This window comes from Homo sapiens, chromosome 6 (genome assembly GCF_000001405.40).
Source record: "Homo sapiens chromosome 6, GRCh38.p14 Primary Assembly".
Lineage (NCBI taxonomy): Eukaryota > Metazoa > Chordata > Mammalia > Primates > Hominidae > Homo > Homo sapiens.
In genome coordinates, this window is record NC_000006.12 from 143,979,791 (window position 1) to 144,003,088 (window position 23,298).

The 23,298-nt window shown below is 37.9% G+C and overlaps 1 protein-coding gene across 24 annotated transcripts in view; it reads right to left on the bottom strand.

Moving 5' to 3' along the window:
- The window catches only part of PLAGL1 (PLAG1 like zinc finger 1), a 124,300-nt gene that overhangs the window by 39,491 nt on the left and 61,511 nt on the right, over positions 1 to 23,298 (bottom strand). For 7 of the 24 annotated variants that reach the window (NM_001289040.2, NM_001289043.2, NM_001080951.3 and 4 more), the window contains one exon: positions 5,345 to 5,384. The exons of the other annotated variants lie outside the window; for them this stretch is intronic. The gene's annotated coding sequence lies outside the window, so the exon portion shown is untranslated. The remainder of the gene's footprint in view (positions 1 to 5,344; positions 5,385 to 23,298) is intronic. 24 annotated transcript variants of the gene reach the window in all.

Here is a 23,298-nt window from a genome sequence, read left to right on the forward strand (position 1 = left end):
CCTTCTTTATTAAATCAACTGACAATAAATGTGAGAGTTTAAAAAAAAAGATTTCCTTTAGTATTTCTTACACTGTGGGTCTACTGGTGATTAATTCTTTCAGCTTTAGTACATCTGAAAAAGTCTTTATTTCACCTGTTATTTTCCTACCAAAGAAAGTGCTTGCATGTTTCACCTTTTTTGAAAGATATTGTCACAACTATAGATTTCTAGATTAACAGTTTTAGCTTTCACTACTTGGAAGGTGTCTTTCCACTGTCTTCTGGATTACATTCCTTCTGACAGGAAGCCTTCTGTCATGTTTGTTCCTCTGAATGTATAGTTTTTTCTTCTCTGCTTTAAAATCTGTCTTTACTACTGGTTTTAAACTATTTGATTACGGTGTCCCTTGGTGTAGTTTTCTTCATGTTTTTGTGCTTGCTTGATATTTATTTAACTTAGATTTGTGGATTTATTGTTTTCATCAAATTTGGCAAGGCTTCAGCCATTATATCTTTATTTTCTGTCCTCTCCCTCCTTTGGGGACTCCAATTACATACATATTTGGTCATTTCAAGTTGTCCCACAGCTCACTGATGTGCTATTCACTTTTTTCTAGTTTTTTTTTTTTTTTTTCCATTCAGTATCTCATTTTGTATAATTGCTATGCAGTGTATTTTGGGATTTTAATCCTATCCAGTGTATTTTTCAACTCAGGTGTTTATAAAATGTCTAGAGGTCTAGAAGTTCAATTTAGGTCTTTTTATAGCTTCCATCTTTTCTTAACCACCTTATGCTTTCCACTACCATCTTGAGTATATGGAACATAGTAACAATAACTATTTGAATATCCTTATTAAATCTATTTAATTTATTTTAGTACCTCCACTTATTAGATGTGTGTCACTTCTGGGTCTGTTTCTATTGATTGAGTTTTCTCTTCACTGTTGAATTTTCCTGCTTCTCTGCACATCTGGTAAATTCTGACTGAATGCTACATATTGCATACTTTATTAATGGGTGCTGGATATTTTGTATTTCCTTAAATATCCTTGAGCTTTGTTCTGGGATACAGTTAAGCTACTTCAAACAATTTGATCCTTCAAACCAAGTGTCTGCAAACTAGGCCCACAGGCCAAATCTGGACCACTGCCTATTTCTATAAATAAAATTTTATTGGAATACATTCTGATACATGTAAATACATTTGCTTACAAATTGTTTATGGCTGTTTTAACACTAGAAGGGCAGAAGTGAGTAGTTAAAACAGAGACTACATGGCCCACATATCCTAAAATATTTTCCATCTGGCCCTTTACAAAACAGTTTTATGACCTGTCTTGAATGGCTTACTTTTAAGATTTTTTAGGCAGGATCAGATTAGACTAGTCTAGGGCTAATTTTGCCTCATCGCTGAAGCATTAGTCTTCTGAGTACACCATCTAATCCCACTTATATACAAGGTTTTTCCACTCTGAATGGTGGGGGTGGGGTGGGGGGGACACACTCTTCACTGCCTTATATGAGCTACTTTCTTCTTCCCAGTGCCTCTTTCCTCATCCATGGGTAGTTCTCTTATGCATATGCACTAATCAGCACTCGGCTGAAGCCTCCAGGAGAGCCCTCTGAAGATCTCTGGAGCTCACTCTCTGTGTAACTAACTCTCTCTTCTCTGGTACTCTGTCCTTCAAATTCTAGCTGCCTCAGCCTCCCAGAATTCCTAACTCCATCATCTCAACCTAGGATAAGCTGTGTTTGGGTTCTGCCTTCCTGCACTGCAGCCTGGGGCAAATCATTTGTTTTTTCCTTCTCTCAGGGTTCACTGTCTCGTGCCACTTGTCCAATGTCGGAATGCCTTTGTTTCATATGTTTTATGGGCTTTTTGTGTGTGTCGGTTTGTTAGGCTATTTTAGGCGAGAGAATAACTCCAGTTCCTGTTATTACAAGATGGCTGGAAGCAGAGGTCCTCTCAGTACGAAGTTCCAATCCTTTATATTTGCCTTAGTGCTTTATATTTACAATAAATTGTCCCAGCTCAAGCCATTTACCCAATTCTATGATCAGTCAGCAACTAGAGAAGGGTGTAATAAGCAAAGTCAAACTACTATAGCATCCCTTTCCCCAATCCCACTTTCCTATCTTTGTGGGATATATATGGTGGACTTGGTTTTTAAGATTTTTCTTTTTCATTAAACCAGCATTTATTGAGTGGTTGTTTTTCCTGGCATTGTTCTAGGTGCTGGGGATTCACCACTGTGAACAAAACACGCAAAAATTCCTACCCTTGTGAAGCGCACCAATGAATTAAGCTTATCTTTGAATTAATTGTTTCTAGTAGCTTAACTGTATCCCATAACAAAGCTCAAGTAAAATATGTATCAGATGGTGATTTTAAAAAAAAAAGTAATGAAGAGACAGGAAGTGCTAAGAGATTTAGCAGTGAAAACAGTGTCAATTTAAAACAGGCTGGTCAGGGAAAAAGGCATGGGTGAGAGGATGACAATTTAGGGAGGATCTGAAGGAGGTAAGGATGTAAGTCATGTGGCTATTTCTGGGTACAATAATTGCAAAACTCGATGCAGAAACAAGAAAACTGGTATGGCTAAAGCAGTCAGTGAAGGGAAGCGGTAAAAGATTAGGCCAGAAGTAATGGGACCCATAGCACATAGGAGATGATAAGCCTCCGTAAGCGAGATGGGAAGGACTGGAGACACTGGAGCAGAAAAGTAACACGATCAGACTTAACAGTTTTAAATAATTTATCGGGCTGTTGTGTGGAGAGTGAATTCTAGGGGAGAAAGTATGAAACCAGGGAGACCAGTTAGAAGGCTACTCTTATAAAGAGATGATGAAGGCGTGCACCAGTGCAGTAGCAGAAGAGCTGGGGAGAAGTGGTCACCTTCTGGATTTATGGAAGGTGGGGCTGACAGTATCTCCTGACAGCTGAATGTGTAGAGGGTGAGAGAGACGAAATGAGGATGCTGCAAAGGCACCTGGCCTGTGCAACTGGAAGAAGAGTCTTCCTCATCTCGGTAAATGGCTACTTAGGATGAAGGAAGTTTGGTTGGGAACAGAGAAGAACTCAGGAGCTCAGGTGCAGACATGTTAGGTTTGATATGCCTATTAGACATCCAGCAATTGGATATTTTAATCTGGAGTTTAGAGAAGAGGTCCATACTGGAGACAATTTAGTAGCTGCCAGCATATATGTATTTAAAGCCATAAAAATGAATGGGAGCAGCTAGGGAGTGAGAATCGACAGAGGACAAGTACAGAGACTGTGCTCAGGGACAGCCAATGTTTGGAGGTCAGGACAATGAGGATGTAACTGCAAGAAAGATAAGAGTAGTCACATGCAATAGGAAGGCAGTTGGGAAAGTGTGCAGACTCAGAAGACAAGAGAAGAACATACTTCACAGAGCAGCATGATCAGTGGGGTCAGTGCTTCTGACAGGTCAAGGAAGATACAGACTGAGAATTAATGGTTGAGTTTGCAATATGAAGGTCGCTGGTGACACTTGAGAACTTTGGTGGAATGCCCAGACAGAACTGAGAAATTGTGTAAAAGGAAGCAGGGACATTAAATGGGGTAGTAAGTAGAGAGGAATGGGAGTTAAATAATTTTTTTAAGTAAAGCAGGGAGGTGGGAATGCATGATGCAGGAGAGAGAAGGGACAACTACTGTAGCTATATCCTTGAGCAGGTGAGAGGAGATGGGACTAAGAATATAAGTACAAGGGTAAGCTTTAAATTGAGCATGGCTGGGTATCTTTCTCCAGCTACGTTCAGCTGCACTGCTGCAGGCATGGAATCAGCAAACAAAGGCACTGGGATATAGATGGCTAAGTACAACAAAGCAAAGGGGAGGGACAGAGAAGATGAGTGGATGAGTGATTTTAATGAGAGGGTAGGCTATTGACGTTGAGTAAGGGAGGATGTGAGATATGAAGGAAGTGTGCTGCAGTGTAAAAGTTGTATGTCTAGGTGGAGTTAAAAATGTGTTGGAGTGGGAGGACAGATGGAGAATGGGGTGCTGGGACTCAAGATCATGGAGTGAGAGCAGTTCTTATTAATGACTAGGCCCACAGTATGACTATGGGAGAAAGTTGCTAATGTGGTTTGGAAGACAAGGTCATTGAAGGAGAGGAAATCAAGAAACCGAGAAGCCAGGCTGTTAAGACTCTACGAAGCCTGAAAATCACCAAGAATTAGGACACATTAGTCTTACAGGGAAGGACAGCTCCTGAATCTTCAAGGAATAAGGAACAATGATGTATTTTTACTTTCCAGATTTTAAATTTTTATGTTGTCTTATAACTATATTTATAATAATGATTTAGGCCTAACTCCAAGTCAGCTGTTTTAAGCTAATCCAACTGTCCTTTTATGGTCCAACTTGCGTTCTGCTCAAATGTCCTTCTTCTCTTTCACTATCATTCTGAAAAATGTACAATTAATTCTGTCATTTATATCAGTTTCCTAAATTCTAAAGCAAAATTTCTCAAACTTTTCTGTGGAGCACCAGTTCAATGGTATATTTGGTGAGGTAGGGGTTGTATGGTGAAATATGCTGGAGAAACACCACAGACCAAAGGCCATCGATAATCACTTGTTGGAAACAAACAAGTCTAATTTGATTTTAACTCAGCTTTTTTCCCAAATTTAAATGACCATATGCTCATTTTCCATATAATATCAGTTAACATCCTAAGGAATGAGTATGCCAAGGTAGGTACTATCGGGAAGACTGTATTAGAGGTGCGTGTCTTCTTGGTGGCTTCAAAAGAGGTGAAACAGAACCTGCTAGAACAAGATTCAAGATACAGACTTAGAATCTGTCAGAGAATGCAAATCCTTGTTAAGTTACTTTGTAACAATATTCTCCTCTCCTGCTAAGATGATGAAAAACAAAACCATCTCAGAAAATAACTTCTCAAAGATGTATTTAAAATTGGTTTAGTATATTTCAATTCTCCTCCGTAAAAATGACACTTCATAGACTATTTAAAAACAAAGATACATAAATATGTTTTGGAGGAAGACTAATGCCCAACAGGACGTCTGCATCTATATACAACCTCAGCTCTGCCCTTTGCTCCCACTAACCATAACTCTGATAAGAAGTCACTATAAGGAAACAAATGCCCCTAGGCCAAGACATGTACTTCAAAAATCATTATCAAAATAACTATTATCTAAGAGTACCAGAAAAAGTGAGACAGACTTTAAAATAATTTAAGAACCAAATAACAAAAAAGTTTTGCTCCAATTTTTGCTCTAGGAGCTCTAAAAAACCATTATCAAGTTATTAGAGAAGACAAGGTATTGGGGGAAGAGGATAAAAGAAACTGAAATATCAGCTTACAAAAGCCAATCACGATGTTTATGAATCAGGCAGGAACAATCTGCAAACAAAAATAAAAATTACTAGTTTTGTATAATATTTGCACATGCATTTGTTAATTATAATTTTGAGATCACTGTAGGTTCATATGCAATTTTAAAAGAGGCTTTACTCAGTCTCCCACAATAGTAACATTTCACAAAACAACAGTACAATATCACAACCGATATGTTTATATTAATACCATCTACTAGTCTATCGCGATTTCCCATTTAATTGTATTAGTGTGTTTTATAGTTTTATCACATGTGTAGGCTCACATATCTACCACTAGTCAAAATATTGAACAGTTCCATCACAAGGATCCATCATGTTGCCCTTTTACAATCACACACCACCTCCTTTGCCAAAATCTCTTTCTGCCCCTGACCCATTGCACATCTATTTTTAACACTAAAATAATAACAGCCATTTACAAAAAGTATTTCATTCCTTGTCCATAGTTCTATGTCTACTACTACTACTACTACTTCCTATATGTCAAATCTTGAATGAATACTTTTAGTTTTCTGCATTAAAGGTTTAGTTTAAGGAATACCTTCTCCAGGGAGAAGTTTTTCTCATTGTTAGCATGGCATAGATCACTCATTTCAAAAATCAAAACGCAAAAAGTAAGGGAGTCAGAAATGTTGTCTGCACTCACAGATTCCATATTTTCAATATATTACTAACAAGAAACCTCTGAGTGCTTACCATCGGCCAAGCTACATATTATATATTATTATGTGTGTGTGTGTGTGTGTGTATACACACACATATATATAAAAGATATATATACACATATATATCAAATTATATATATATAAAATTATATATATATATATATATATATATATATCATTTAATCCTTTTACCAAACCTTTGATGTATGCACATTGACCCTGTTTGGCCCAGGAGAAAATTGAGGCACCAAGAGGTTTACAAGTTGCCTGAAGTCAAACAACTAGCAAGTGGCAAATCCTGGAACCTGGGACCAGACTCTGGGCACCCAGACTCTACCATCCCTCAAGGAAACCCATGATAAAGTCAAGATGTTTTGATGTCATCATTCATTGCTATGACAAATAAATCACCTAATTATTGGTAAGCTTCATTTTAACATACCAGAATTCAACAAGGAAAATGTCCAAAGCAATGATGTGTAAAATGGAAGGAGTATTTTATTCAAGCATGAAATCATAGGAAATTGCCAAAAACAAAGGTTGGGACATGCAGAAAAGACTTTATATTATAGCAACAAACTGTTCACCAGCCCTAAAAAGATAGTCTTAACATTCGTTGGGGATTGACAGGCAGCAGTTTATACATAGTCAAGATTACTCTTGAAAAAGACATATTCAATTGAGCAGAGATGATGATGGGAGAACTGAAATTTTTGAACAGATAAAAGCTTCAAAATTAGGCTCTTCAGCCAATAGAGACATCTAAAACTCCAAAGATCATGTTCAGATTATAGTAATTTGACAGACACCTATTGTGACAAACTTTCTGTAGGTTTATTAGCTTAATAATATAGCATTATTACTGAGGACTAATATTCTCTTCTGTGAAACTACACAGCACATTTATGCATAGCTGTGACAGTTTTGCCTATCATTCAACAGTGCTTAAAAGGCGCCTGCTCAATAAGCCATTGATATGCTGCCCCAAATACCCTGGCGAGGCTTTCTTTACAGTGCTAATTTTACAGACGTCTCCTGGATGATCTAAGTTCAAGAGGCAGCCAGGGGAGGAGAATGCATTATTAGCATGGTTTGGTGTGCGTATAACCAAGTTATACATAGGAACTAGGGAAATGGAGCTCTGAAGTTCATCTTCCACAGGAAGATACATGCTATTATTCTTGACTTTCTGGGAGGGAAGTTAATTCATTACTTCGTTAACACTGAAATATATTAAAAACATTTTCAGTTAAAAGGTAGCTAAAAAGAAACCTTTAAATTAAAATGCTTACATCTTACGAGATTTCTAGAAATCACTATTAATTGATTTTAACTAGCTTTATAATCTCCCCCAGTTACTCAAGGCTTTTATTTATTTATTTATTTATTTAGAGACAGGGTCTCTGTCACCCAGACTGAAGTGTGGTGACGTGATCAAGGTTCACTGCAACCTTGATCTCGTGGGCTTAATTGATCCTCCCACCTCAGCCTCCGAACACAGCAGAGTTAATGGCAGGTTGGCTCTACTTCATCAGAGGTTCTGGAGGAGGAAACCAAGATCTTCCCTGAAAGGCAAGATCTGGCATGTGCCACCACACTGGCTTTTTTTTTTTTTTTTTTTTTTTGGTAGAGACAAGGTGTCACTATATTGCCCAGGCTAGTCTTGAATTCCTGGGCCCAAGAGATTCTCCCACCTTGGCCTCCCAAAGTAAAAACTCACATTTTCTTAAAGGTGGGTAAGCAAAAGATCAGGGTGAAGGAAACCCTCTCCTTTTCAGACACCACCCTACGATGCCTGTTTGCCCTTCTTCACCAAGAAGCCAGCTGTCCGTGGCTGGGCCAGCGTGACAGACTCAGGGGACATTGGATACAGCTCTCTTTTCAATGGCTCCTAGAGTTAAGACTTTTATAAGCATTATTATTTCAAGAAAACACTGTGTCCTGGTCTTCTTAAGTAAATACAAGGCAGATGGTAACCTTAATTTTCTCTGAAAACTCTGTCTAAAACATGGGACAAAATAGATGTCAACGTTCTAAGAATGAAGAAAAATCAGAATTCCTCATTTATCTCCAATTCTTCTCCCAGGGAAATACATATACAAAGCCTCCTTGAAGTTTAACATGACTTGTTTCTCATATCTTTCTAAAAGCATATTGTTTATTTAGAATAACCTTTCTATCTTGTCTGCCAAGCTTTTCCCATACATATAAGATAAAAACTGAGAAACACTTTTCCATTCCCAGTGATGTTTGTCCAGTAAGTCTTGGTAAGTAATAACGATTATGCCTAAACTAACATCACTCTTCCTCTGCGGCTAAACACAGTCATCTGGTGGTGTACGGTATGACCTGTATGGTTCCTCAGTGGTTCACCATTCTAGAACATCCTACAAGATTAACTAAATTTTTCAAGTTTGTGTATCACCTCAGCTGTAACATTTATGTTTATGTCACTGTTTTTAAGTTGTTAAATTCTTAGAGGATAAAGACTATATCTGTATAACTTAGTTTACAAATAATAGCCATGCACGAACATCCCATAAATGCCCTTGGCAGTGATGAGTACAATCACAGCAGAGTTAATGGTAGGTTGGCTCCACTTCATCAGAGGTTCTGGAGGAGGAAACCAAGATCTTCCCTGAAAGGCAAGACCTGGCATCAGGGGCTACTGTGGGCACTTTCCTTTGAATTGCATTTATCTGCCAGGAAGATGATATCCTTTATTGTTTTACATGAAAGCATTTGAAAATTCTAAAAACTGACCATGCCTGCCTTGGTCAGTTCAGGTTGTAATAACAAAGTGCCATAGACTGGATGGCTGACACATTTATTTTTCACAGTTCTGGAGGGGAGAAGTCTGAGATCATGGTGCCAGCATGGGCAGGTTTTGGTGAGGAACCTCCTCCAACTGTCTACTGCTGGCTCTCCTATCCTCACAAGGTAGGAAGAAAAGCCAGCTAGTTCTCTGTCCTTTTCTTATAAAGGCACTAATCCCATTCCTGAGGGCTCCACCCTTATGGCCCAATTTCTTCCCTAAGGCCCCACCTTCAAATACCATTTCATTAGGATTAGGGTTTCAACACATGGCTTTTGGGGGGACACACACATTCAGTTCATTGCAATGCCCTTACATAGACATGAAGACAGGTCACGTATGTTTGAAATAACTCATGGTCTGCAAAATCTCACACCAAAAATAACAGAGGGAGAAAAATTCAGAGTAGACCACTCAAAACCTATGCACTTTTGTAATCACAGCGCTAACCAAATAATAATGCATACCTCAGGGATAACTTGGAAAGCCCAGATAGGCAGCTCAGTGTGTCTGGGGGTGCCCCAGGGGACATTAAAAACGCACAGAAACAATAGAGTGGAAAGGCTACTACAGTAGAAATGCAGGGAGGACTCAGAGATGAGTTCTCATCCCTGGAGAGTGTGATATGACAGTGAATTGTGTCAACGTGACTGTGCCACAAGTGCCAGGTTAAACATTATTTCTGGCTACGTCCATGCAGGTATTTCTGGATGAAATCAACACTTGTGTTGGTGGAGTTCGGAGCATACCACCCTCCCAAATATGGGCTGGCATCATCCAATCCACTGAGGGCCCGAATAGAACAAAAAGGTGGAAGGAGGAGGAATTCACCCCCTTTTCTTCCTGCCTGCCTGAGCTGGGACATCAGTCTCCTCCTGTCCTTGGACTGGGATTTATACCCCTGGTTCCTCTGCTTCTCAGGCGTTCAGCCTTGGACCAGAATCACACCACCAGCTTTCCCGAGTCTCCAGCTTGCAGACAGTTGACTGTGGGATTTCTCAGCCTTCATAATCATCAGGGTCAATTCTTTGTAATCAATCTCTCTTTCTCTCTCCATATATGTATCCATGGGTAAACATACATACACTCTAACTCTGCCAACTCAAATTCACTTGGGTTCTAGAAACTGCCCAACAATTATGCAACATTTCCCTAATCTTTGGTCATTTCATTTCACACCTTCTCTCCTATCTTCCAATTGCCTTCCCCACTCCTAATACTTAACACATAACATCTCTCTGTTAACATCCCTACTTAATGCTTCTGTGAGAAAACAAAAGCTGTTGGATAGGGCATCTCTGCCTTCTATCTCTAAACTCAGAAACTTCCCCATATCCACAGGAGGATGCACCCTCCCTAAAACCAGAGGCCAACTCCACCTCTCTATTCAAAATTTCTTATACATTATCTTCTCCCTTTTTACTAAAGATACTTGTCATCGACACATACTATGCTCTGATATTCCCCAATTTTTTTTTTTTTCTTTTTTGAGATGGAGTCTCGCTCTGTTGCCAGACTGGAGTGCAGTGGCATGATCTCAGCTCACTGCAACCTCCGCCTACCGGGTTCAAGCGATTATCTTGCTTCAGCTTCCCAAGTAGCTGGGATTACAGGCATGTGCCACCATGCCCAGCTAATTTTTGTATTTTTATTAGAGACGGGGTTTCAACATGTTGGCCAGGATGGTCTCCATCCCCTGACCTCGGGATCCGCCCGCCTTGGCCTCCCAAAGTGCAGGGATTACAGGTGTGAGCCATCGTGCCCGGCTGATATTCCTCAATTTTTAAAGAACAAAACCTTCATTGACCTCCTGGTCCCACTATACTCCCACCCTTTCTCAGACAAACTTCTGAAAAGAACAGAAAACTTAGATAATCCCCATTTCCTTACCTCCCACTCACTTTCCAACCCATTCCCCAGGCTCTTATCTCTACCACTCTATCAAAAGATCTTTATCAAGGTCATCAAAGCAATTCTTATTATCCTCATTTTAAAAACCAGGACACTGAGGCTCAAGAGAGATTACTAGGTTGAGATAGTAAAAACGTACCTTCCCTTCAAGATATGCAAGAGCCCAGAGCTGCCCCAAGGCACTCTTTTCAGGATATTAAAGACTTCATCTTCCCGGGACCCAACCCCTCTTTCCTCCCTTGTGTCATGCCGCTGCATTATATATCAGACACATTCCTTAGAATATCTCATTGTTTTTCATTATTTTTAATTGAGAAAAAGGACCTTGCTTTGCCTATGAATGTTTTCTGTGTTGACCACTTGGTGTCAATTATTTAATTGTTCCAACCACATGAGAATAGGTGGCTTTAGCCCCTTTGTACAAATAAGAAAATTGTGGCGGAGAAAGAATAAAACCTTTCCCAACATCAGACAGATAATAAGCATTTCATTGTTTCTTAGTTGTTTCCATTAGATGATGGCAAGATAGGGGCATCACTCTGACAGATGTGACATTGTCCCATTATGTCCACAAGGTTGGAAAACCTAGAACTGATGCAAATTTGCTATGAAGAAACACCTCAGAAACTGACTTATATATCATAATGGAACTTTATGATGAGGATTTTAATTTACCATACATCTAAATATTTATGTTATAAATTATGCAGACCAACTAAGTTCAAAGCTAACCAACCAAGTCCAAAATATATCTTTCCTTGACCAATTTACCTCATATTTCCTGGAAAACCATGTTTGAATGTGGACTTCTTGGAGTCTGTACCTCTAGAACATGGCACTGGGGGGCCGTGATACTGAATTTTGGTGATTAGGGCATCTTCCCTCCCTAGTTCTACCATGGAAGCCAAATTGGTGAGCATGAGGTGCGGAACAGAGTTATGTGCTTATCCCATAACCTGTCTGGTTTTCTAGGTATTCAGACATTGCACTCGCTCAGCACTGCCCTTAACCCAGGTGAGTGGAGCTCTGCCTTAGGATCCATGTTCCATTCTGGCCTTTCTCTAGCTGCACCATTTCCTTTATCATGAGGAGTCCAAAGGCCTAAGGGGAAGGTGCCCACCCAGGCCTACACTCCCTCTCCTAGGCTATGCTCCTGGTTCCCAGAACCATGGCATTCCTTGTCCAAAGAGCTTCAAGCCTGCTAACCAGGAACTGCACAGGCTCTTTCCTAGATCTGTGTTTTTAAGGGCAGACTGTGCCCTGTTATATGCAGTACCTAGACCCAAGGGGTGGCCAAGGGGTGTCTGTTTGCAGGAGATGTGGACATAGTGGGCAGAGTGATCCCAGAACATTAAGAGAAGGGAAGACAGGCCAGGGCCTAGTAGCCAGCTTGCTCTCCAGTGCCATGTTCTAGAGGTACAGGCTCCAAAAAGTCCACATTCAAACATGGTTTTCCAGGAAATATGAGGTAAAGTGGTCAAGGAAAGATATATTTTGGACTTCGTTGGTTAGCTTTGAACTTAGTTGGTCTGCATAACTTATAACTTATAAATATTTAGATGTATGGTAAAAGTGTTTCTATTTATATCCTGGCTTGAACTCTACCCCCGTATAGTTAGGAGGGGCATGAGATTAGTTCTAGACTTTAATAAAAAGTTGATTACTGAGGAAAAACCATTGAATATTCTTTTTTTGAACCACAGTGGCTGAGAAGGCCAAGTGTTCCAGAAAGTGTACAATGACAAAGGTGGTACAATCACAGGCTTGAGTCTTTCTGTGTGAAGCATAGTCTTCTGCAAGTCCACAGTGGATGTTTATTGTAAGCAAAAAATAAACTGTTTTTGAATGAAGCCACTGAGGTTTGGGGATGGCTTGTTAGCACAACATAATGTTAGCCCATCCTGACTACATAGAAATTGGTACCAGAAGTAGGATGTTTTAGCAAAAACCTAAAATATATGACCTTGGTTTAGCGGTCAGCAGGTAGCAAGGAAAGTGATCTCAAGGGCCAGAAAGATAGTGATGTGTTTTATACAGTGGCAACATATCTGGTAAAACATTTGCCTCTGCTAGTTCAGGAGGCAGATCTCCTGTCAAATTTACTTGTAGCTCTAGGAGAAGAGGTAAGAAAAAACAATTGAAATATGGTTGGGCGAGGTGGCTCATAGCACCTTGGGAGGCCAAGGCAGGTGGATCACTTGAGGTCAGGAGTTCAAGACCAGCCTGGCCAACATGGTGAAACCTCATCTCTACTAAAAACACAAAAATTAGCTGGGTGTGGTGGCGCGTGCCTGTAATCCCAGCTACTCGGGAAGCTGAGGCAGAAGAATCACTTGAACCTGGGAGGTGGAGGTTGCAGTGAGCCGAGATCCTGCCACCGCACTCCAGCCTGGGTGACAGAGTGAGTGAGACTCCATCTCAAAAAAACAAACAAACAAACACACACACAGAAAAAAACAGAAAACGGCCGGGTGCGGTGGCTCACGCTTGTAATCCCAGCACTTTGGGAGGCCAAGGCGGGAGGATCATGAGGTCAGGAGTTCGAGTCCAGCCTGGCCAACACAGTGAAACCCCACCTCTACTAAAAATAGAAAAATTAGCTGGGTGTGGTGGGTGCCTGTAATCCCAGCTACTCAGGAGGCTGGGGCAGGAGAATTGCTTGGACCAGGGAGGCAGAGTTTGCAGTGAGCCAAGATCGCGCCACTGCACTCCAGCCTAGGTGACAGAGCTAGACTCTGTCTGAAAACAAAAAAACAAAAAACAAAACAAAACACACACACACACACACACACACACACACACACACACAATTGACATGTGTATTGGTTATTATTGGCTTCATTTGACAAAGTATTTCAAGAAAGAGCTGAGCTTAGAAAAGAACTATCCGGTTTCCAGGAAGTGAAAGGGAGTGAGGAGACGGCAGACATTTCAGATTTTGCAACTACAAAAACTAACTTCTTCTCCACCCCTACACTAACAGTTAAAGGTAAGACTTTGAAGATCATTAGCCAAGGAAAACTTTTTTTTAAAAAAACTAAATTGTCTCAGGACAAGGATAGATAATATATCCGTTAAATCTTTTCATGTGGATAAAATGACTGAGAGAATAGATCAGATTAAAAGTAAAGCTTTCCAATAGAAGCCAGCCAGTCCCAAGATAACTTCCTTTAGGACCAGAAAGACAGCTATGGGAGTGAGAATGCAAATCAATGTAGCAAATCTGAAAACCAGGACTCATGCATGACAAAAGAAAATTCTAGGGCTGTGTTTACTAGCACACAGAATTGACTGGAGACAAACAGATAAGAAAGCTTCCAAATTTTGGAGAGCACTGTGCTGCCGAAAAGAATAAGACTATCAGCTGAAGTCTTAAAACGATCCTTTGGCCCCCAGTACTCTATATGCAGGATAGAAAGGTTTGCTCAGTTCCCAACTAGGGCAAATTCTCAAATGTTCACTTCATATATGGCTAAGGAAAAAAAAAAAAAGAAAAGAACTCCCTAGGGGCAAGGCCAGTACTTCTGAAAATGATGAACAAGAAGGTAGAATCAGGGCCTAATCAAGAAGCATTTTACTCTCCAGGTTTTGAAGGATTTCAAAATTGTTATGGACCAGGGACTCCCTAAAGTATACTCGTGAAATTTATAACTTACAATGTGGGAAATACTAGGTTTGGATCTGTATTATTTTAATAATCTCAGAAAGGTGTCAGAAAAACGAGGAATTTTCCTATATATTGTAAATTTTAAGACTTCACAGTGCATGGGATGTCCACATGTTCTGCACTGTGTCATCTGAGAATATGAACATCTTTCCTCCGCTGTTTAAAAGCAATTTTCTAGATTGCAGTTTTAAACATCTCTGAATGTGACAAGGTATTACCATTAAAGCGTATGACACTGATTTTACACTCTGCAGAAGTGCGGACAGATTTAACAAGGCAGCCCTACTTCACAGTAGCTCTTGAAATCTCAAGTAGGAACGAAATGAAACTAATGGCATTATAAATACTACTATTATTCGCAAAAAAATGTATGGAAGATGATGAGAGACAGCAGTGTGACCACTGGAGCAGCTCATATTCGGTCCCAACATTTTATTCCTGCTTGCGTTTCTGGAAAATCCACTGTTACAGATTCAAATGTGTCCTCAAAATTCAAATGTTGAAAACCCAAACCCTAATGTGACTGTATTTGGAGATAGGGCCATCAGGGAGGTAATTAAGGTTAAATGATGTCTTAAGAGTGGGGCTTTAATCCAATTAAAATTCTCATTATAATACATGTCAGTTTCTGATGTGTTTGCTCTTAGCAAATTTGCATTAATTTCAGATTTTCTGAACTCACGGAGGTAATTGGACTATGTCACATCTCTCAGTGATGCCTCTATCTTGTCATCATCTAATGGGAACAATTAAGAGACAATAAGATAGAACCATCACAAAGAGCAGGCACCCTGTGCTCAGAATCCAAGTAATCAGAGGTCAAATGCTTGCTGTATTACTTATTAACTGTCTGATATTGGGAAAGGCTTCATTCTTTCTCAGCCAAAATTTTCTTATTTGTACAAAGGAGATAAAACTATTCTCAGGTTGTTGGAACAATTAAATAAAATGATTCACAACAAGTGGTCAACACAGAAAATATTCACAATAAAGCAAGGTCCCTTTCAATTTATCCTTAAAGTTAATTAATAAAAAGCTTAAACTTCAGTATTATGCAGATTATTTGTATGCACGTATCAAGCTACCCTTTTCATATCATTCAATAAATGATGCATAATTTTTGGCTTTTGTTGTTTTGTTGTTATGGTTTTTTGGGGGTTTTTTTGCTTTGCTTTGGAAAGGGGATAAATGTTAAACTAATTTGAGGAATAAGTTAAGCCAAGGAAACATGATTCTAAACTACATAATTTAAACAGATTTCTATACTTTGTATTTAGGTGCGAACCATTTTAGTCAAAGTTTGAAATTATGTTTACCTCCTATAAATATTTGTTGAATAAATTTATGAATGTTTTCTAAGTTAAATAGCTTTAAAAGCTATACTGTCATAAGATACTCATACCACTTAAAATTCAAACACTATTATGATATATATGCTTATATAAAATGTTTCAAATCTGAAATATAAGGATTTTTTTTTTCCTGAAGACTAAAGGAAGAAAGATCACCCTTTCTACATGTTTCATAATATATTTTCCAGGGATGAAAGAGAAAATTTAACACTTGATGGGCTCAAATCTTAATTATAAAACAGAGGTTTTTGTTTCAAAGCCCAGTAATAATAAGTATTTCCATAAAATACCTACATTACTGGCTATATTAATGGTGGCCAGCCATAAAGTTAAAGCAAAGAGAAGAACTGAAATCTAGACCTCTAATCTTTTTTCCAAAAATATCAAGGATAAAGGATGGTCAGGAGCTCAACCAAAACCAAAAACGGTTTAACCTGGTCACCCTCCCACCATCGTCCACTCTATTTTGTGACCTGCTGAGCCACATCGTGCTTTAAATTTTCTTGATTTAGGGTCTCATTTTCTCTGAACTGTTATGATCACAATGGTGTCACATAAAGAAGAAACATGGGGTGATTTGAGAGAACTTTAACAAGGTCTGGACATTTCTCTCACTAGGAAGTAGCTGACCCCATTACTACAGGGCACGCTTCTTATTAGGTGGATCTGGGAGAATCCTATCACAGAGCTGCGATGTCTGCATGTATGATTACAAGCAAAAGTTGACCAAGAAGGCTTCAATGAGAAGTAGATGAAATTGAATCAAATGAACGTTTATTAAGCACCTACAAAGCGCTTGTAAACAGAAAGTATGGCAAAGACTGCCAATTTTCTCTGATATCCATTCTTCCTTTCTTTCTTTGTAATATAATCTCTGAATTTTAAATGGGCACATGACTCCCCAGAATGAAAACATTTTCCAATGTCCCTTGAAGATAAAGGTTGTCACGTTACTGACAAGATGTAGGCAGAAATGTCATGTGCAAATTCTGGGAATTGTCCTTGAAGCAGGAGCAGAGTCTTATTTATTCCCTTTTTTTTTTTTTTTTTTCTGACTGAAATACAGACATCATAGCTAGAACTTGGCTAGCCATCTTCGATCATGAGGTAGACGAACAGAACAAGGATATAGAACTTAGAGTTCAAAAACAGACACACATACTCAGGCACTTGATTTTCAACAAGGGCACCATGCAATTCAATGGAGGGAAAGAAAAATTCCTCAAAAGATTCTAGAGCAATTAAATCTCGATCCTGAAAAAAATTAACCTTGACCCTTATCTCACATCATACAGAAATTAATTTGAGATAGATGATGGAATGGGTCACAGATCTAAATGTAAAAATAAAATTGATATCTTCATGATTGAGGGATAGACAAAGATTTCTTAAACAGGACAAAAGACAAACCACTAAAAACCCGATAAACTGGATTTCATTAAGACACCAAAAGACAGCATTAAAAGATACATAGAAAAGTCATGAAATCATCAAGGAAATGCACATGAAAACCATGAGACCATGAAGCCATGAGATATCACCTCAAACCCACCAGAGGGCTTAAAGCGAAAAAGACTAATATCAAGTGCTGATGAAAATGTGCACTCCAACTACAACTCTATTGCTAGCAAAAGTGTACACATATGCATTCAGTTTTGTAAACTGTTTGGCTCCCCTATGGCCTAACAATTCTAGTCTCAGATTTGTTCCTTGGCAAAATACTGCAAATGTCCACCAAAAGACTTGTGAATGAGTATTCACAGCAGGTCTATTTGTAAGAACCCAAACTAGAACACACCCACATAGCTATTTACAAAATGGATAAACAAATTGTGGTAATGGAGTCCTACTCAGAAAAAATACAAAAAGAACTACCTATTGATAGATGCATCAACACAGATGACTCTAAAAAATTTACGCTGAATAAAAGCCAGACACAAAAGAGTACATCCTGTTTGGTTATACTTAAAATTCAAGAATAGACAAAACAGGGAGGCTCAGGTGGGAGGATCGCTTGAGCCTGGGAGGTTGAGGCTGCTGTGAACTGTCATCCTGTCATCATGCAATCACACTCCAGCCTGGGTGGCAGAGTGAGATACCATCTTGGGGCGGAGGGGGCTGGCGGGGAAGGAATAGATAAAACTAATCTACAGTGATGGACATCAGAAGAGTGTGATCCATAGGGGAGGTGTTGACCAGGAGGTAAATGAGAGAATTTTATCCTCGATGGATGTAATATTGTCTAGCTTGCTCTTGAATGTGGTTACACAGGTGTGCGTATGTGTGTGTGTGTATAAACTCATCAAGCTATATACTTAAGAATGGCAGATTTCATATGTTTTTCTTCCCCATGTATTTTAGGCCTCAACAGAAGCAGAGAAAAAGTACTTTATGAAAGATAATTAGACTCTTTTTACCTTATCCATTGCCCAGCAAAGGTTATTAGGCAAATGTAAAATTTTCTACTTAAAATAAAACAAACACCAAGCAAAGTGTGGCTAAACTTTACAGTTTTTCTTACCCCCAAATAAGCCAAAATTAGAATATTCAAACCTTATTCATTAGTATCAACAAAAACTTGGAAGGAAAGTCCAAAGAAAATAGGAGTACACCAGTTAATCCATAGCAACTATCATGGTCACCAAAGTGAAGATTCTATAGTATATTGGCAATGAAAGCAAAGCTTTCACTGTGTATGTCATTTTCAGTGTGTGTTTTACCATAAATGCTTCTGTTCATAATTTTATTTAATTATTTCTTCATTTTTAGCACAAGGGCAGTATGGCATAGAAGAAAGAGCAAGAGCTTTGATTCAGACAAACCAGTTTTGCCACTTACTAACTATATGGTGTTAGGAAAGTTTCCTAATCTCTTTGATACTAAGTTTCTTCACAATTTAAAAGAGATAATAATACTTACTTTGCAAAATTGTAGCACAATTATAGTAGGTACTTAGTAGTGGTAGCTATTTGGCAATAGCTCTTTGTATGCAAAGTATCATGTCAGCCACTTGAACCCTATCTAAGAACCTGACCATCTGGAAAAGACATTTAGATATAAAGATTGGTGACGAAAGGTAAGAATTTAACAAGGGCTATAGATTATAAATTATAGGGTTTCTATGTAGCTAGTAGGGTTGTAGAGTGAGTATTCTCTGAACAGAGCTTGAAAAAAAATGGTTGAAAATTAGTTGGGGAGAAAACATTTAAGGCAGGGGAAATGGCACAAATAAGAACACAGCTGCAAAAGCAGGAGAGTGAAACCTTTAGGGGCTGATGCGTGGTTAGGACCACCTGTGCCACTGGATTAGTTTTGAGAAATCGGAGAAGGCCAGTAAAGTAAGTTAGGACCAGACAAAAAAAAGGACCATTGTCATGCTAAGAAGCCAAGAATCTTGTAAGTATTGGGATGCCACTAAAGGACTTTTTCAGGGAACTGACCCCAGTGGTCACTACACATGATAGGAAGGGAAGAAAAGTCAATACAGGGAAAAATAGCATAGGGTGACAAGGGCCTAAACCAAGGTGCTGAGGGGAGTGAAAGAAGCAGGAAGGAAAGATATTAGAAAGTTCAAATTTTTTTCCTGTATTTCAGAATGCAAATGGAAGAGAAAGTTCAATTTTATTAATTTAAAAAAAATGATCACTGAGTTTCCCTGAATGATATAAATAGGCCTGCCTTCAACTTCAGGATTGATCCTAATTGACCCCTAAGTTCCTCGAGAGCAAACATAAGCCCCCAAGCCAACAAAACACATTGCCTGGCACATAGAAAGTGCTCAGTACATCATTGGTGAATGACTCTCCAAATATTCCAAATATGGAAATCTCCATACACAAATAATACAATGTATTAATGATGCAATATAAAACACGCAGAAAAGCTAAAATCACTTTTCCTTTTTGTTTAGTGACCATTTTCCACAATATGCCAAGTTCTGAATTTGCTCATGCAAGAGCTATCTCTATCTCCAGCTTATCAAAAGACTCAGATATAAATCGCTCCAGAAAGTTGGGAATGTTGCCACCTCAGTTGCTAAGCTCTTGTGTAATGTTGTTCTAGGAATCCATCATTCTTTGCTATAGCAAAAGAACAGTCACTTTATGACTCATGAATATTACATGAAAAAATTAAAACAGTAAATTAAATCCAAATCATGTGAATAAATATGTGTAAGGTTACTTTCGAGTGCAAGATGATTTAGTAATTAATTTACTTATTATGATAATTTAAATTAAAATAACCTAACACTAAGTAATGAAGAAAAAAACGAGTACTTCCTAGGGCTAAGCACAATTCTTACCCCTTTTTATGTATTAACTCATTTAATCCTCTCAACAACCTTATATGGTAGACAGTTGTACCTAAATTTAAAGATGAGAAAATTGAGATACAGAGAAGTAACTGCCCAAGATTATACTACATGGCAGCAGAGGAGCAGAACTAGGAATTGAATGCAAGCAATCTGGCTTCACAGTCCAATAGATTCAGAAAAAATACTTAATAAAATCCAATACAATTCATGATATAAAACTCTTAGAGAACTAGAAGAAGAGAACTTTAAATATCCCGCAACAACATCACACTAAGCTTCAGTGCTACAAAAGCATTCTTATGTAAGTCAGAAGCAAAATAAGAATGCCCATGATCAGTACCACTATTCTTCATTGTACTGGTTGTCCTAGCCAGTGAAATTAGACATAAACAAAAGAATAAGAGATTTGAAGATCAGAAGGAAAAGAAAAAAATCATTTCTTGCAAATTATGTATTTATGTAAATGGAAATATAATGTTATTTATGAAGTAGTAACTAGCTGGTTAGAAAATAAGAAACTAAGAGAAACTATTCACAGTAGCAACAAAAATCATCAGGATCTAGAAATAAATGTAACAAAATATGTACAAGTCCTTTATTTATATCATATCATTGAAGGACACAAAAAGGACATGTGAGATAAATGAAAAAATTGAGTATTGCAAATATACCCATTCTTCTCATATTGATCTATAAATTCAAAGCCATTTCTATAAAAATCCCAACAGGACTTTTCAAGAAACTTCATAAACAGGTACTAAAACTCATATGGAATGGGAAAGGTCTAAAATTGCCAAACAATTCAGCAGAAAAACAAAAGAAGGCTTCTGCTCTATGACATATCAAAATCATTAGAGTTATCTTAGGAAGATTTGTTCAGGAAATATGGAGAGCTAGACATTCTAAAACAAACCTTTTAATACTTGCAAAGTTCTAAGAAATACTGGAAAAACATCCTTTAAAATGTCAGATATTTGTAATTCTTCATGTCATCAAACTAAGAAAAGTCATAATCTCAATAGATGCAGAAAAAGCATTTGACAAAATTAAAAATAGAGTATACGTACATATAACTCCTAGCTCTGTCCACAGAGGGCCAAGAAACAGTATCATCTCAATAGAAGCAAGGACACCTAGCACACAGATTTTGGTTTCTAATACCATCCTCCAATAAAAGGAATCAAGACATTTTGGAGAAATGGCTGATTCTAAGGTTGGGGAAGGGAAAATACTAAATGAGCCTGGAGCATCTCATAGTGCCAGACAGTAAGGAAATGATAAAAAAAAAAAAATAAAAATTTTTAATGGGGACATTTCAAAAGGACAAAAGTACCAACCTGAAAAAATCCCAATGCCAAAGCTGGAACAATTTAAGCAATATAAAAATGGTATTAGATAATAGCTCAAAGACTAAATAAATATCCATCAATATACATGGATATAAATAACTGACTCAATAATAAATCAATGGGAAAAAAGGGACCAATCTTTCTTAGAGAAGAATTTCTATTAATAAATGTAGAAAGAAGGAAGGAAATGGAAAATCACCATTAGAATACCACAATAATAATTGCTGCAGGCAAGATCCATTGAACACTAAAATTATTGGACAAAACTTTAAAGAGAAATAGAATATTTGTACTACCTCAAAAATATTTATTAATCACTGTGGTGGTTTTAACATATGACCACAAATTATTTGATATCCCTCCCTTCCTTTGACTGTGGACTTTCTCCTAACAAATAGACCATGGAAAGGGGGAAAAAGTAACATTACAATAAGAAACCTTGCCAGACACCATCTTGCCATGTGATCAAAGTTATCATCAGTTGATGTGGCTATCATATGCTGCCATATGTGATACAATGAGAAGGGCACAACAGCTCTGCGATATTCTTCTCTCAAAATCCATAATCTCAGTCTAATTGTGAGAAAACATCAGATAAATCCAAATTGAGATGCATTTTACAAAACACATAACCAGTACTCTTCAAAAGTGACAAGATATGAAAGACTGAGAAACTGTCACAGATTGGAGTAAACGAGGGAGGCATGAAAACTAAACACCATGTGGTATATGGGGTGGATCCTGAAATTAAAAAAAAAGAACATTAGAGGGAAAACTGTGGTAATCTGAATAAAGTGTATAGTTTCATTAATACTATTGTGCCAATGTTAATTTCTTAACTTTGGTACTTTACAAGGGTTATGTAAGATGTTAACATGAGAGGAAGCTGGGTGAAGGGTATACAAAAACACTGCACTATCTTTGCAATTCTTGTAAATTTAAAATTATTTCAGAATAAAATGAATTTGAAAATTCAATACTCATTTGCGAAAGCAATTCTCAGTGAACTAGAAACAGAAGAAAATTTCCTCAATCTGGTAAAGAACATCTACAAAAAAAGTACAGTAAACATCACCCTTAATAGTGAAATATTGAGGTATTCTCCCCTTAAGATGAGGAAAAGGCAAGGATATCCTTTGTTAATACTTCTGTTAAATATTGTTCTAGAGGTCCCAGCCAGTGCAATAAGGCAAGAAAAGGCGAAAAAGAGAATAGAATTGTAAAGGCATATTTAAACCATTTTTTTTCCAGATGGCATGACAGCACATTAAAAACAAAAACAAAAACAAAAACAAATCTGCATACTGCCAAAACTATAAGTGAATTTAGCAAGCGCACAAAATACAAGATCAATATATAAAAATAAATTTTGTTTCCATACACTAGGCAAGATGTTTGGAAAATAAAACTGGGGGAAAAAAAAAACTCCACCACTTACAACAGCATCAAAAAAACATTAAATGTCTAGAAATAAATTGAACAATGTGTAAGTCCTCTATACTGAATATACAAAACAATGTTGAAAGTAACTGTAGAAGAACTTATGCAATGAAGGGAAAGACTCAATTCTGTTAAAATGTTCACTTTCCCAAAGTTGCTCTGTAGAGTCAATGCAATCCCAATCAAAATTCTGGTAGGCTTTTTTTTTTTTTTTTAATGGACATTGACAAGCACATTTGAAAATTTATATGGAAATGTAAAGCACTTAAATAGTCAAAACATTTGTTTAAAAGAACAAAACTGGAGGGTTTACAATACCATGTCAAGACTTACCATAAACTACAGTAATTAAAAAAGTATGGTACTGATGCAAGAATGGATAATTAGTCCAAGTGGAAAGAACA